The sequence below is a fragment of the Homo sapiens genome, chromosome 6 (assembly GCF_000001405.40).
Source record: "Homo sapiens chromosome 6, GRCh38.p14 Primary Assembly".
NCBI classification, from domain to species: domain Eukaryota; kingdom Metazoa; phylum Chordata; class Mammalia; order Primates; family Hominidae; genus Homo; species Homo sapiens.
Window position 1 is genome coordinate 82,254,908 of NC_000006.12, and position 15,145 is coordinate 82,270,052.

Here is a 15,145-nt window from a genome sequence, read left to right on the forward strand (position 1 = left end):
AATAAATAAAGATAAGTAAATTAATTAATTAATTAAATAAAATTAAAAAATTGTTGCCAGAGATAGAGGGCTATTTGATAATAATAAAAGGGTCAGTTCTCAGCAGGGTGCAGTGGCTCATGCCTGTAATCCCAGCACTTTGGGAAGCTGAGGCAGGCAGATCACAAGGTCAGGAGATTGAGACCATCCTGGCCAACATGGTGAAACCCTGTCTCTACTAAAAATACAAAAATTAGCTGGGCGTGGTAGCACGTGCCTGTAGTCTCAGCTACTCGGGAAGCTGAGGCAAGAGAATCGCTTGAACCCAGGAAGCGGAGTTGCAGTAAACCGAGATGGTGCCACTGCACTCCAGCCTGGGTGGCAGAGCCAGACTCTGTCTCAAAAAAAAAAAAAAAAAAAGAAAAAGAAGGGTCAATTCTTCAGAAGAAATAATGTGTATGCAGTTTTGCTACAGATGTAGTAAAAGAAAAAAAAAAGAATAATTTGTATATACCTAATCATAAAGATTCACATTCCTGATAACAGAACTTCCAAATACATGAAGTGAAAATCAACTGAGCTAAAAGGAGAAATAGACAATTTCATGATCTCAGCAGGAGATTTTAACACTCTGCTCTCAGCAATAGATAGAACAGTTAAACAAAAAAAAATCAAGAAATTCATAGGTGTTTTGAACAATACTATAAACCACCTTGACTTCTGTGATGGTTAATGTTATGTGTCAACTTGACTAGGCCACAGAGTGTCCAGACATTTGGTCAAATGTTATTCTGTGTGTGTCTGTGCGGGTATTTCTGGGTTCAAGTAACATTTGCATTGGTAGGCTGAGTAAAATAGACTGCCTTCTTTAATGTGAATGAGCCCCATCCAATCAGTAGAAGACCTGAATAGAACAAAAGGGAACTCCTCCTTCTTGATTGCTTTAGAGCTGGGACATCAGGTTTTTTCCTGCTTTCAGGCTTAGACTTAAACATGGGCTTTTCTTGGGTCTTGAGCCTGCTGGCTTTCATTCTGATACTACAACATCAGCTCTTCTACTTCTTGGGCCTTTGGACCAGGACTGGAACTATGCCATTTGCTCTCCTAGATCTCCAGCCTGCTGACTGCAGAGCTCAGACTTATCAGCCTCCACAATTACATGTGCCAATTATTTATAATAAACCTCTCGCTCTCTCTTTCTCTCTCTCTCTCTCCCTCCCTCTCTCTCATCTACACATCCTACTGGTTCTGTTTCTCTGGTGATCTCTGACTGATACAACCTCATTGATGTTTATAAAGCACCACATCCAACAACTCCAGAATACATTTTGTTTTCAAGTGCATGTGGTATGTTCAGCAAGATAGACCATATAGTGGATCTTAAAATGTCTTAATAAATTTTTAAAAATTGCAATCATACAGAGTATGTTCTCTGATCACAATGGAACTACATTAGAGATCAATAAAACTAAGATCTAGGGAAACTTCAAATATGTGTAAATAAACAAGATATTTAAAATAATCCATTGGTCAAAGAAGAAATCACATAGGAAGTTAGATAGTATTTCACACTGAATGAATAAAAATACAACATATCAAAATTTGTATGATGCATCCAAAGCAATGCCTATTCAGAAATATATAGCTTTAAATGCTTATGTTGGTGAAGAAGAGATGTCTAAAAATCAATGACCAAAAGTTCCACATAAATAAGCTAGGGAAAAAAAGAGCAAAGTAAATCCCGAAGTAAGTGGGAGGAAATAAAGATAACAACAGAAATCAATTAACTAAAATATAGGAAAGTAATAGAAAAAATTAGCAAAGCTGAAAATTGTTCTTTGAAAAGATCAGCAAAATTGATAAACTCCTTGCTAGAATTAGTTATTTAAAAAAAAAAAAAAAAAAAAGGCTGAGCGCAGTGGCTCATGCCTGTAATCCCAACAGGGGATTACAAAGAGGCTGAGGTGGGCGGATCACCTGAGGTCAGGAGTTCGAGACTAGCCTGGCCAACATGGTGAAACCCCGTCTCTACTAAAAATACAAAAAAATTACCCGCGCATGGTGGCAGGTGCCTGTAATCTCAGCTACTTGGGAGGCTAAGGCAGAAGAATCACTGCATGTACCTGGGAGGTGGAGGTTGCAGTGAGCCGAGACCTCACCATTGCACTCCAGCCTAGGCAACAAGAGTGAAACTCCATCTAGAAAGAAAGAAAAAGAAAGAAAGAGAGAGAGAGAGAGAAGGAAGGAAGGAAGACAAACATCAAGAATTTCAAGAGTCTGAGATTGTACCCTCCTGTTAAAGCTAACAAGTTAATCTGCCAGAGTTTCACGGAATCTGGCCTGCTAAATGAGATTCCTAAGCCAGAGACTAGCACTTTACCACTCACAGCCAGCAAGCAGCATGAGCTTCACATTTGCATTAGTTCTTTTAGACCCTCAAGTCCTATGAGAAAGACACAGAGTGGCCCAGGTAGGTGTTATAGGTGTTATAAATGTAGTGGGTTGGCATCTCAGTTAAGGAAACCCAGGCTTAGTAACTTAATCCTTTATAGTAGACTGCAAGAAAACCTGACTGACTTTTACCCCTGAGGTAGAAATTATCTTTATTGTACCAGAGAGTTAAAATAAAAAAAAATAAAAAAAAATAAAAACCTGTCCCTGCTCTAGAGGGCTCCACTGTCACTATTTACCAAGTGATTTGCAATACAAACATCTTTAAAAGATAACTCAGAACAAAGGCTGTCAGTGCCTCTACTCACAGGACCTGCAGAAACATGAAGGAACCCACAGGAAATTTGTTCCCAACAAGAGCACCAATTGCCAATATCAGGAATGAAAAAGTAGTTATCACCACAGATACCACAGACATTAGAACAAAAAATAAAATAAAATAAAGTAAGAGAACATTGTGAACAACATTAGGTTAAAAAAAAGTTGCCTTTGAGAAGTTGAGGGTAGGGATTGACTGAAAAGGAGAATGAGGAAACTCTCTGAGGTTGTAGAAATATTCCATATCTTGATGGAGGTGTAGGTTACATAGGGTACATGCATTTATCGTAACTCCACAAATATACAGTTAAAATTTGTGCATTTCGTTGTTGCAAATTTTACCTCAAAAGGAAAAAATGGGCTGGGCGCAGTGGCTCATGCCTGTAATCCCAGCATTTTGAAAGGCCGAGGCGGGCAGATCACGAGGTCAGAAGATGGAGACCATCCTGGCTAACGTGGTGAAACCCTGTCTCTACTAAAAATACAAAAAATTAAAAAAAAAAAAAGAAAAAAATACAGAAAATTAGCCGGGCGTGGTGGCACACACCTGTAGTCGCAGCTACTTGGGAAGCTGAGTCAGGAGAATCACTTGAACCCAGGATGTGGAGGTTGCAGTGAGCCAAGATCATGCCACTGCACTCCAGCCTGGGCGACAGAGTGAGACTCCGTCTCAAAAAAATAAATAAATAAACAATATAAACCTTAGTAATGATTTTTATACTGAAGTGTTTCAGGGTAAAAGTATTTAGGGATAAATGATCAATATCTGCAATTTACTCTGAAATGCATAAAGGGATGAACAAATGGGTAGATATGTGATAAGGCAAATATATTTAAAATGTTAATGGTTTAATCTCGATAAACATATTTGTTCACAATAATATTCTTCTAAGTTTGTTGTATGCTTCAAAATTTCTAAATAAAAAAATGGAAAGAAAAAGAGACTTAAAAAACATGTACAGTCATGCATCACTTAACAATGGAGACACATTCTGAGAGATGTGTTGTTAGACAATTTTGTCATTGTGCCCACATAATAGAGTATCCTTACACAAACCTAGATGGTATAGCCTACTACACACCTAGGCCATGTGGGTTAGCCTATTGTTCCTTGATTACAAACTTGTACAGTATGTTACTGTACTGAATAGTGTCAGCAATTGTAACCCAATGGTACTTATTTGTGTGAGGAAACATAACTAAACATAGAAAAAGTACAGTAAAAATATGGATTATAATCTTTTGGGACCACTGTTGTATTATGTGCTGTCTTTGACCAAAATGTTGTTATACAGCATATGATGGTAAATCAGTTACAATAAATGGACCTTACTTGGATAATGATTTGGACACATAAGCTGTAAAATCAAATAGTATGACATACTAGCAATAATTTGAACACTGGCTTGTTACTTGTTTATTGTTTTTATTTTATTTTATTTTATTTTTTTAGACAGAGTCTTGCTCTGTTGCCCAGGTTGGAGTGCAAGAGTGCCATCACGGCTCACTGCAACCTCTGCCTCCAGGGTTCAAGCAATTATCCTATCTCAGCCTCCCAAGTAGCTGGGATTACAGGCACACACCACCACACCCGGCTAATTTTTTGTATTTTTAGTAGACATGGGTTTTCACCATGTTGGCCAGGGTGGTCTCGAACTCCTGACCTCACGTGATCCACCCACCTTGGCCTCCCAAAGTACTGGGATTACAGTCGTGAGCCACTGCGCCCAGGCTGTTTACTGTTTTTAAGCCTGTGTAAGAGAAGCTGTTGGCCCTGGGCTCCACAGTCTCTCACCCTTACCACTTCAGGGCATGCTACCCTGAATTTAGCAGCCAACAACTGCATTTCTTTGCCTGAAGACTTTGCCTCCTGAAGTCTTGTTGGCCTGCCCCTGTGGCTTTCTGCAAGTGCTGAGGAGGTAATGCTTGCCCAACTCAGATTCAGCCATCTGCGAAAGTCTTACTTAGAACCTTCCTTTTTCTGTCTCACTCCCTCCACTTCCCCACTGATGTTTCCCTCTCTCAGATGACTTGCACTTAAATTTTTGTCTTTGTTTCAGCTTCTGGAGGAACCCAAAGTGTGACATTGGGATAATGGCATTTCAGTTATTTAAAAACAAACAAACAAACAAACAAAAAGACTTTTTAAGTTTGGGAGATATTTACTGAAATATTACAGATAAAATTATATTACTTGGGATTTGTTTCAAAACACAAGTGTTAGTGGGGAGAGTGGATAAAAATATAGATGAAAAAAATGTTGGCAAGGCTTAGTGGCTCACGCCTGTAATCCCAGCACTTTGGGAGGCCAAGGTGGGCAAATCACTTGAGGTCAGGAGTTCGAGACCAGCCTGGCCAACATGGTGCAACTCTGTCTGTACTAAAAATACACAAATCAGCTAGGCATGGTTGTGGACACCTGTAATCCCAGCTGCTCAGGAGGCTGAGGCATGAGAATCGCTTGAACCCAGTGGGTGGAGGTTGCAGTGAACTGAGATTGCACCACTGCACTCCAACCTGGGCAACAGAGCAAGATTCTGTCTCAAAAAAAAAAAAAAGAACTAATTAAAGTGAAAAGACTCACATGACAATATCTGGGGTGGAGGAAAAATCAAGCTATCTCAATGTGAGAGGGGAGGCATTTCTACAAGGCCTCTGAGACCATTTGGCCTATGACATTTACCTCACCTTTTTTAAGACAAGACCTTCTAGTTGTGACTTGAATTTGATATTCAACCACTTAACCTAAGACCCATTACTTGAAGTTTATTGTTGCTGCAAATTAAAATCCACAGGGAGCAGACATGCACTACGGTTTTATTTGCCAATGTAAGTGCAGTGTGACTCACATCCTCCCTTCAGGGGGATCTTAGCTAGATAAAACTTTTCCAGGGCTCAACTTTTCCTGGAATAGCTTTGTCATTAAAGACATAGGCACTGAATCAAAAGCTAATTGAATCAAAACTGCAGACAATTTAATCTGGAATTCTAGACCCATTTAGTGCATAAGTAATTGGCATCGAGTGTCTTTTATGCAAGGATGCCAACTGTTTCTGGGTCCCACAGCAATCATTGCCAGTTTTAAAGACAGTGTTTTAAACTTCTCCAATCTGTTTCCACATCCAGTAACATAAATATTTCAATGTAATGCCAACCCATAAATATTAGCTGATGATCACGATCTAAACTGTATTTCAAAAAATAAGAGGCATCCATTAAAAGGGTTTTAAAATATTTTATTCACACTTTTCATGGAAATCTTTTTCTAAACTTCTAATTGCACTAGAGAAAATACCAGTAAAATCTTCTCATAAGGATGACCATGAAGGACTTCTGTTTATCTTTATTAAATGTAGACCCAACACATCCCCAACTACAAGTGTTCTACTTCCTCATTTCCTATTTAAAGGAAAGGAAAAAAACTCACTTCCTTTTCTTTACCATTCTTTTGAGACCTATCAAACTGGTAAACTGCTCCATACTGCTCTATTAATAGCAGCTAATGGGTAGTGAGGCACCATAATTGCCTTTTAGTGATGATGCCTTAATTCACTAAATTCATTAGTAAATCTAGTACTGGAAATGTTTTCAGGCACTCATAGTTCAAGAGAGAGAGATTTGGGAACAGGCCAGATCTAAAGCAAGCATTGTCTGGAGTTCTTTGATTTGTATTAATGCTGTGGAATATGAGTCTGTGAAAGGAAAATAAATTTTGGGACACCCTCCACCCCCACCCACTCCTCGCCAAATCACTAAGCCAAAGGAAAAAGTCAAGCTGGGAACTGCTTAGGGCAAACCTGCCTCCCATTCTATTCCTAAAAAAGATAGCTACTAAGATAAAAAGCTACATACCTCTCTCACAAGAAATTTCCTTGTAGAGAAAGGACAGAGAGGACTCAGTCATCTCTCTGCTCACTGAGATAAATGCATATCTGATTGCCTCCATTGGAAAGGCTAATCAGAAACTCAAAAGAATGCAACCCTTTGTCTCTTTCCTACCTATGAACTGGAAGCCCCCTCCCCGCTTTGAGTTATTCTGCCTTTCCACACAGAACCAATGTACATCTTACATATTGTAATCTCTGTAAAATGTACAAAACCAAGCTGTGCCCCAACAACCTTGGGCACATGTCATCAGGACCTCCTGAAGCTGTGTCATGGGCCTGTGTTCTTAACTTTGGTAAAATAAGCTTCCTAAATTGACTAAGACCTGTTTCAGATAAAGATCACTCCTCAGATCTTACTTTGCAGGAGGGTGCTATCTCTACCTATAATAAGCAAAGCTGATTAAGACTAGTTGAATGCATATAAGAATTACATTAAATGCAATTACACATATCTATTGAGCATATTATATATGTAGACACTGTTAGCTAATGCAGAGGATTCAAGAAAAGCAATTTAAAATCTAGTATGGAGAATAAGGTAGATACATAAGTATCACTGATAGTAAAGTGAGACACTGTCATAAAAGAGACAATGGGATTGTGGAGCTACAAAAAGAGAGAGATTACAATCAGTTGAAAGGATCAGGGAAAGCTTCTTCTTTTTTTTTTTTTTTTTTTTTTTTGAGACGGAGTTTCCCTCTTGTTGCCCAGGCTGGAGTGCAATGGTGCAACCTCAGCTCACTGGAATGTCTACCTCCTAAGTTCAAGGGATTCTCCTGCCTCAAACTTCCAAGTAGCTGGGATTACAGGTGCCTGCCACCACACCCGGCTAATTGAAAGCTTCTAGTGGAGTTATTTGTGAAAGAACTGAGGGATAAATAGGAGCATCTGAAAGGAATCTACTTTTTCCATGATTGCTAATGTAGAGAAAAACTATAAAAGACTTTGAAATGCATCAAAAAGATTACTGATGACTTCAGTAGAAAATTAGGTGGTTTAGCTGGGATCATTGCACCTTTCATTGTCTTTGAGATATTTTACAACTCTGCAAATTGTAGATAATGGATAGCAGTGCAAACAAGCTCATATTCACAAACATGCAAATTAATTTTGTCAGGTGGAAACACAACTGATTTCTTTATTTCCATTTCTGTAATAAGCAAGTTTTGTATTTATTTACTTTTTTTAATATAAACTCTCAACTAAGTGATTTTATTCCTGTCCATGATTGCAGACACTTACAAAAACATAACATCTGAGTTCACCTTAAGAAATAACTTACAGCTGGGCATGGTGGCCCATGCCTGTAGTCCCAGCTACTTGGGAGGTTGAGGAAAGAGAATCACTTGAACCCAGGAGGTGAAGATTGTAGTGTGCCCAGATTGTCCCACTGCACTTCAGCCTAGGTGACAGAGTGAGACTCTGTCGAAAAAAAAAAAGAAGGAAGGAAGAAAGGAAGGAAGGAAGGAAGGAAGGAAGAAAAAGAAAGAAAGAAAGAGAAAGAAAGAAAGAAAGAGAAAGAAAGAAAGAAAGAAAGAAAGAAAGAGAAGGAAAGAAAGAAAGAAAGAAAGAAAGAAAGAAAGAAAGAAAGAAAGAAAGAAAGAAAGAAAAGAAAAGAAAGAACGGACGAATGAACTTGCATAAAGCAGGGACATAGATAGCACACAATAGTTCAGGGAGGATGCAGAAGCAACTTTTAGTAATTAAAATGTTAATGTGAATAAAGGATGGAATAAATATCCCTACTTATTTCTACCTAAGATGTTATGTGATAATATTTTACAATGTCCTGAGGGTCAATGTATGTTTGTGTATATGTCCATATAACACACACAGATACAGTACATTCTTCTTCCCACACATATACATACAAACATAATTATTTGCAGTTCAGTTTAAGTCAACTTTAATATGCCACTTTGTACCTTTTCTTTTCTTTTGGGGTGGGGGACAGAGTGTCACTCTGTCACCAAGGCTGGAGTGCAGTGGTGTGATCTTGGCTCGTTGCAATCTCCGCCTTCCAGTTCAAGCAATTTTTGTTCCTCAGCCTCCTGACTAGCTGGTAGTAGACACGATCTCACTTTGTTGCCCAGGCTGGTCCTGAACTCCTAGACTCAAGTAATCCTCCCACCTCAGCCACCCAGGTTCAAGCGATTCTCCTGCCTCAGCCTCCTGAGTAGCTGGGATTACAGGCATGTGCCACAATGCCTGGATAATTTTTATATTTTTAGTAGAGACAGGATTTTGCCATGTTGGCCAGGCTGGTCTCAAACTCCTGACCTCAAGTGATTCACCCACTTTGGCCTCCCAAAGTGCTGGGATTACAGGTGTAAGCCACCACGCCCGGACAGATTCCTTTGTTTAAATGTACGCTGTGATAAATAATTTTCCTTTATGATAGTTCTGTGATGGGCTAGTTCACTGTGGTTTACATGAGGGTACTTGGTAATGGATCACACACTCACTGTTATGCGAGAGGAGTAACTCCCTGAAAAGGATTTTAAAAATTTCCCCCAGTTTTGCAATTATCCCTGAGCCCAGTTGATTACTCAGGCTCATTTTATCAGGAGAATTCTTAGAAATACCGTCCATATCTCCTGAGCCTAAAAGCCATTCATGTGATGTGACTCCATTCCTCCTCCTACTCCATCCATGGTACCATCTGACCCAGATTCCACTGGAAAATTAGGTCTGTTAGGTCTACAACATACTGCATTCATTCATATCTCCAGGGTTGATTAAATCTGCTAGACTAGACATGACGGGTGTTCCTGTGGACCTCACCTCCTGGAGGGCCTATGTAATTCCCAGGAGATGTTGAGGAGTATGGTACTGAATTGGCATTTGTTGGGTTTGGCCAAGATCTGCCACCCTCCAGACCCATGTTCATTCTAGGCATTCCAGAGCCACCTAAAGCATTCACTGGGCATCTCATTGCACCTTCATCATTCTGTACTGACAACCAAGGATCAGACTGTGGCCCTCAGGGCACCATTCCTCTTGGAGAAATTGGCCCACCCATACTTAAATGTCCTTGTTGTCAAGTTGGATTCCACTGGGGAGTAATGGCTGACTTCCTAGGATACTTCCAAGTGCCTCTTTAGGTATCTTCAATGGGAACCTTGGACCTCCAGGGTACCAAGGTGATATAAAAAGATAATCATGGAAGTTTTTTGTTACACTTGAGTGTTCACATGTTTCCTTTGGCTCTGGAGCTGCCAAATAGAGATCCCAAAATACACAACACCAGGAATGTAAGAATCCTGGTGGTTCTCCCAATTTTTTCCCCCATCTTATCTCTGATAAAAATGTTCGGGATGATCTCTGAACTCCTACATGGAGCAGATATTCATATATGTAAAGTGCTAACTTCACCAAGGTGTGGCTGTCACATGGGTTAATGCTGCTGTTACTCTTGCCTTTGCTGTACATTCTTTGCTGAGAGTAACTCCCATTGTCATGCACTTGTTACCCCATCACAGCCTCCCTGGAAACAGCCCTGTCCCCATGGCAACCCATGTAGCCACCTTCACTATTGGCTGCCTCACACCAACGGCTTTTGCATTTGTTTATAGATTTGTTTCCTCATTGCTTATTATATATGTGATATTTTTAATTCTCCTATCTATGAATCAGTTGTAGCATGTTACTGCTTCCCTCATTAATTACAAAGCTATATAAAATCTTTGACGTGTTAATTTTATATATGTATAAAAGTTCTGATTGCATCCTACTTTAAAAATTATTCTTTTTTTCTTCTTTTTTTTGAGATGGAGTCTCGCTGTGTCATCCAGGCTAGAGTGCAGTGGTGTGATCTCGGCTCACTGGAAACTCCGCCTCCCGGGTTCAAGCAATTATCCTGCTTCAGCCTCCTGAGTAGCTAGGATTACAGGCGCCCACAACCGCGCCTGGCTAATTTTTCTATTTTTAGTAGAGACGGGGTTTCACCATCTTGGCCAAGCTGGCCTAGAACTCCTGACCTCGTGATCCACCCACCCAGGCCTCCCAAAGTGTTGGAATTACAGGCGTGAGCCACCATGCCTGGCCAAAAACTATTTTTTAAGACTAACACATTTCATCTAACATGATTTTGAGTAACTCTTTATTAATATACCTTTTTCATTTTTCCCTTTCTTTGACCACTTTATTTATTTTATTTATTTATTTTTGAGATGGAGTCTCACTCTGTCACCCAGGCTGGAATGTACTGGCGCGATCTGGGCTCACCGCAACTTCCACCTCCCGGGTTCAAGTGATTCTCCTGCCTGAGCCTCCTGAGTAGCTGGGATTACAGGTGCCCACCACAGTGACTGGCTAATTTTTGTATTTTTAGTAGAGATAAGGTTTGATCATGTTGGCCAGGCTGGTCTTGAACCCCTGACTTCAGGTGATCCCCCCGCCTCGGCCTTCCAAAGTGCTGGGATTACAGGTGTAAGCCATTGCGCCCAGGCTTATTTATTTATTTATTTATTTATTTAATTTATTTTTTGAGACAGAGTCTGGCTCTGTGGGCCTGGCTGGAGTGCAGCGGCATGATCTCGGCTCACTGCAACCTCTGCCTCCTGGATTTAAGCAATTCTCCTGCCTCAGCCTCCTGAGTAGCTGGGATTACAGGCACACGCCACCATGCCTGGCTAATTTTTATATTTTTAGTAGAGAAGGGGTTTCACCATGTTGGTCAGGCTGGTGTCGAACTCCTGACCTTAGGTGATCCACCTGCCTCAGCCTCCCAAAGTGCTGGGATTACAGACATGAACCACTGGGCCCGTCCTCTTTGAACAGTTTAATATAGACCTAAAACTGTATATAGTATGTATGGGATTATGAAGGTGGAAGTAAAGGATGATATTAAGAAGTTTTCTTGTAAAGATCTAGCACTCCTAGAATCTTTCCTACCTAATATGCAAACCAAGGATTACTGAAACAGAAGTTTTGAATCTGGAGGCTGTTCTGTAGTCCTTGGTTTCTATATGAAAATAAAGCCTTTACTTGAAAAATATATATTAAATGTAGAATGTATAAATATTTTATATTTTCTTTTCTTTTTTTCTTTTTTTTTTGAGATGGAGTCTCACTCTATCACCTAGGCTGGAGAGCAGTGGTACAATCTTGGCTCACTGCAACCTCCGCCTCCTGGGTTCAAGGGATTCTCCTCCCTCAGCCTCTTGAATACATGGGATTACAGGCACATGCCACCATGCCTGGCTAATTTTTGTATTTTTGGTAGAGATGGCATTTCACCATGTTGGCCAGGCTGGTCTGGAACTCCTTTTTTCTTTTTCTTTTTCTTTTTCTTTTTCTTTTTTTTTTTTTTGAGACAGAGTCTTGCTCTGTTGCCCAAGCTGGAGTGCAGTGGTGCAATCTCGACTCACTGCAACCTCCACCTCCTTGGTTCAAGTGATTCTCCTGCCTCAGCCTCCCTAGTAGCTGAGAGGCTACCATGTGCCATCATGCCTGGCTAATTTTCGTATTTTTAGTAGAGATGGATTTTCATCATGTTGACCACGCTGGTCTTGAACTTCTGACCTAAGGTGATCCTCCCGCCTCGGCCTCCCAAAGTGCTGGGATTACAGATGTGAGCCACCGTGCCTGGCCATATTTTAAATTTTCTATAACTAGTATTTTATATGTATAAATGTCTTTATACGTAAATATAAAAAGATAAATATATATGTATAGAACTAGCTATATACTTCTCTATTTATTTATATATATCCCATTAGAGTACAAGTCTTATTTATCATTGAAATACTTCCTCCACTATACCAGGACCCTCAGTGCTGAGGGTGGCTACATTCTGAGTAGAGAACATCTTTGATTTTTTAGTCTACAGTCGCAGCTGCTGCATTTTTCTTTGATGTCTTGTGACCCATTTGTCACTGCTAGTCCTCTGCTGTTCTGCCATTGACACTATATAAGGTTATGGAATCTTCTGGTCCAGCTCCTATTCAAGCCTTTACATACATCTTCCCTCAGAGGACTATCTGCTACTATCTGCTAGCAGTCTAGTTTCTCCCCACTACCTATGTTAAGCTCAGACAGTTCAATCAGATTCCCCATACCACAGCCCTAGTGCCCAGTTTGTCAGCAGCACTAACATTTCCACACTGAGTTTTCTCCTTGTAGAGGTGTGATGTCCAAGCAGGCTCATGTCTCTTTCCTGATGGAACCCATAATATCTGTCCTTGCCAGTTCCTGTCAATGTACCTCTCACCCCTGTCCCTAACACACAGGAATTATTCTGCCCCTATTGTTGAACATATAGTTATATTGCTTCTACAGACCTGAATTCTAAACCATAAAGATACAAATATCTATTTATGCTCATCCCTATTAGTCACTGTCTCTTTAGTAGCTGAAGCATAAAAAATTTCTTTAAAAATAAGAAGAACTCTAATATGAGAGGTCATTAGTCCCTTAGAGCTCTCGGCAGCATTTGAGTTTATCTTATAAGATGGAATGTCCTTTCGTCTCTTAATTATATCCATAAAACTAATGAAACTTTAATAAGAAATCTAGATTCCATTAATAGGTTTTGGACATCACAGACATATTTGCTTGTTTGTTTTTAAGTGGGGCAGAGAATAAACCCCAACCTCCAACATCTATGCCTGCTCTATCTGCACGACATTGACAAGAGCAGAGGCCAAACGTGAGCGGACAGATTCCAAGAGGAGGGTCCTCTCATGTAGAGCTACTCTCGTGTCTTACTGTTGGGTCTCATTATGCTACTTAAGAGCAACACAAAATAGTCTTACAGGTTACTAGAAAGCCAGAATAAATAAAAGGAAGGCTTATTAAAAAAACCATATTCCCAGGAAAACTCTGGGTTAATGCCTACTCAGAAAGGAAAGAAAGAGAGATGCCAAAACAGATTATGTATTACTTTAATTGAATCTCTGTATATGATTTGATTAAGGTTTTTTGCCATACTTAAGACAAGACAGTGTATTCATCATGACTTTACATCGTATTATGTTCTGGTTATGTAATTATAAAATAATTAAATTGCCTTCATAAAATTATATGAAAATTCAATGATTACATTTTAGAAATGGACCACTTAAGCCTGTTCAGTTTCTAACCCATAATAAACTTGGCACCCCTAGAGAGCACTGGAAGTGAGACATAAAGTAAGCATTACTTGGCATTCTTCCACAAAAATTCCTGCTGTGGAAGATTGCCCCCTTCAAATAACATCAAGTACTAAACTAGTATTTAATTTAAAACTCTTTAATCAACAAAGATCCCAACAACCGCTAAAACTTCACTGCATGCCAATTTTAACTACCAATTATGAAATCACTGCTAATGCAGTCAATAAAATAGGAGACTTTGAATTGGGGATGAGGGAAGGGTACTGAAACATAGAGATTAGGAGATCACTATCTCGTTTCTTAAAGAAAAATTCTGCAGTAATTTAGCTGAAATTAAGATCAGAGGTGTTGGCCGGGCGTGGTGGCTCACACCTGTAATCCCAACACTTTGCGAGGCTGAGGCAGGTGGATCACAAGGTCAGGAGTTCCAGACCAGCCTGACCAACATGGTGAAACTCCATCTCTACTAAACATACAAAAATTAGCCAGGTGTGGGGCGGGCACCTGTAATCCCAGCTACTCGGGAGGGTGAGGCAGGAGAATCGCTTGAACTCGGGAGGTGGTGATTGCAGAGAGCTGACATTGTGCCACTGAACTCCAGCTTGGGCAATAGAACAAGACTCTGTCTCAAAAAAAAAAAAAAAAAAAAAGAGGTGTGAGTTCTTTTTAACTAAAACTGCTTTAGGCAGGTACATCTCACTCAGTTACTCTTATTTTAATTAACATGGTGAAAGTATAGTGTCCTAAAATCTACCATCCTGAAAAATTAAGTTTATTTTTGTTTCTTTCTTTTTTTTTTTTTTTTGAGACCAAATCTTGCTCTGTCGCCCAGGCTGGAGTGCAGTGGCGCAATCTCAGCTCACTGCAACCTCCGCCTCCCGAGTTCAACTCTCAGGCCTCAGCCTCTGGAGTAGCTGGGACTATAGGTGCCTACCACCACATCTGGCTAACTTTTTGTATTTTTAGTAGAGACAGGGGTTTCACCATGTTGGCCAGGCTGCCCTCAAACTCCTTACCTCGAGTGATCCACCTGCCTTGGCCTCCCAAAGTGCTAGGATTACAGGCATGAGCCACCATGCCCAGCCTTTCCTATCTTTATGGTGAAAAGATCAAGACAAAAGAAACCCTTTCATAACTAAGCATCAGGCAACCATGAGAAGATCAATGTATTGAAGAGAAACTTCCAAGTGATGGGTGGTATTGGGAAATTAGAGATTTGGCCCTTGAATCAGTAGATATAGGATATCTCAGCAGGCATCAAGTGAGGTTTGAAAGTCATTCATTTAATTACCTCCTATCATTCAAAGCATTTTAGACTTGCCCAGCATGTTTTACATTTCAATTCACTTTCACATCTATTAGTTTAGCCGCAAGATCATGACAATGCACAACAGGAAGAGGTCCTGAGAAAGT

General features: G+C 40.1%; 1 pseudogene, besides 1 other annotated feature; it reads right to left on the reverse strand.

Moving 5' to 3' along the window:
• On the reverse strand, positions 8,982–10,188 carry LOC100132659 (single stranded DNA binding protein 2 pseudogene; annotated as a pseudogene).
• Positions 10,005–10,299: a silencer, noted in NCBI's record as "tiled region #1235; HepG2 Repressive non-DNase unmatched - State 24:Quies". NCBI's record gives its function as "represses a minimal TATA promoter and a strong SV40 promoter by Sharpr-MPRA in HepG2 cells {active_cell/tissue: HepG2}" and the evidence as "EXISTENCE:reporter gene assay evidence [ECO:0000049][PMID:27701403]".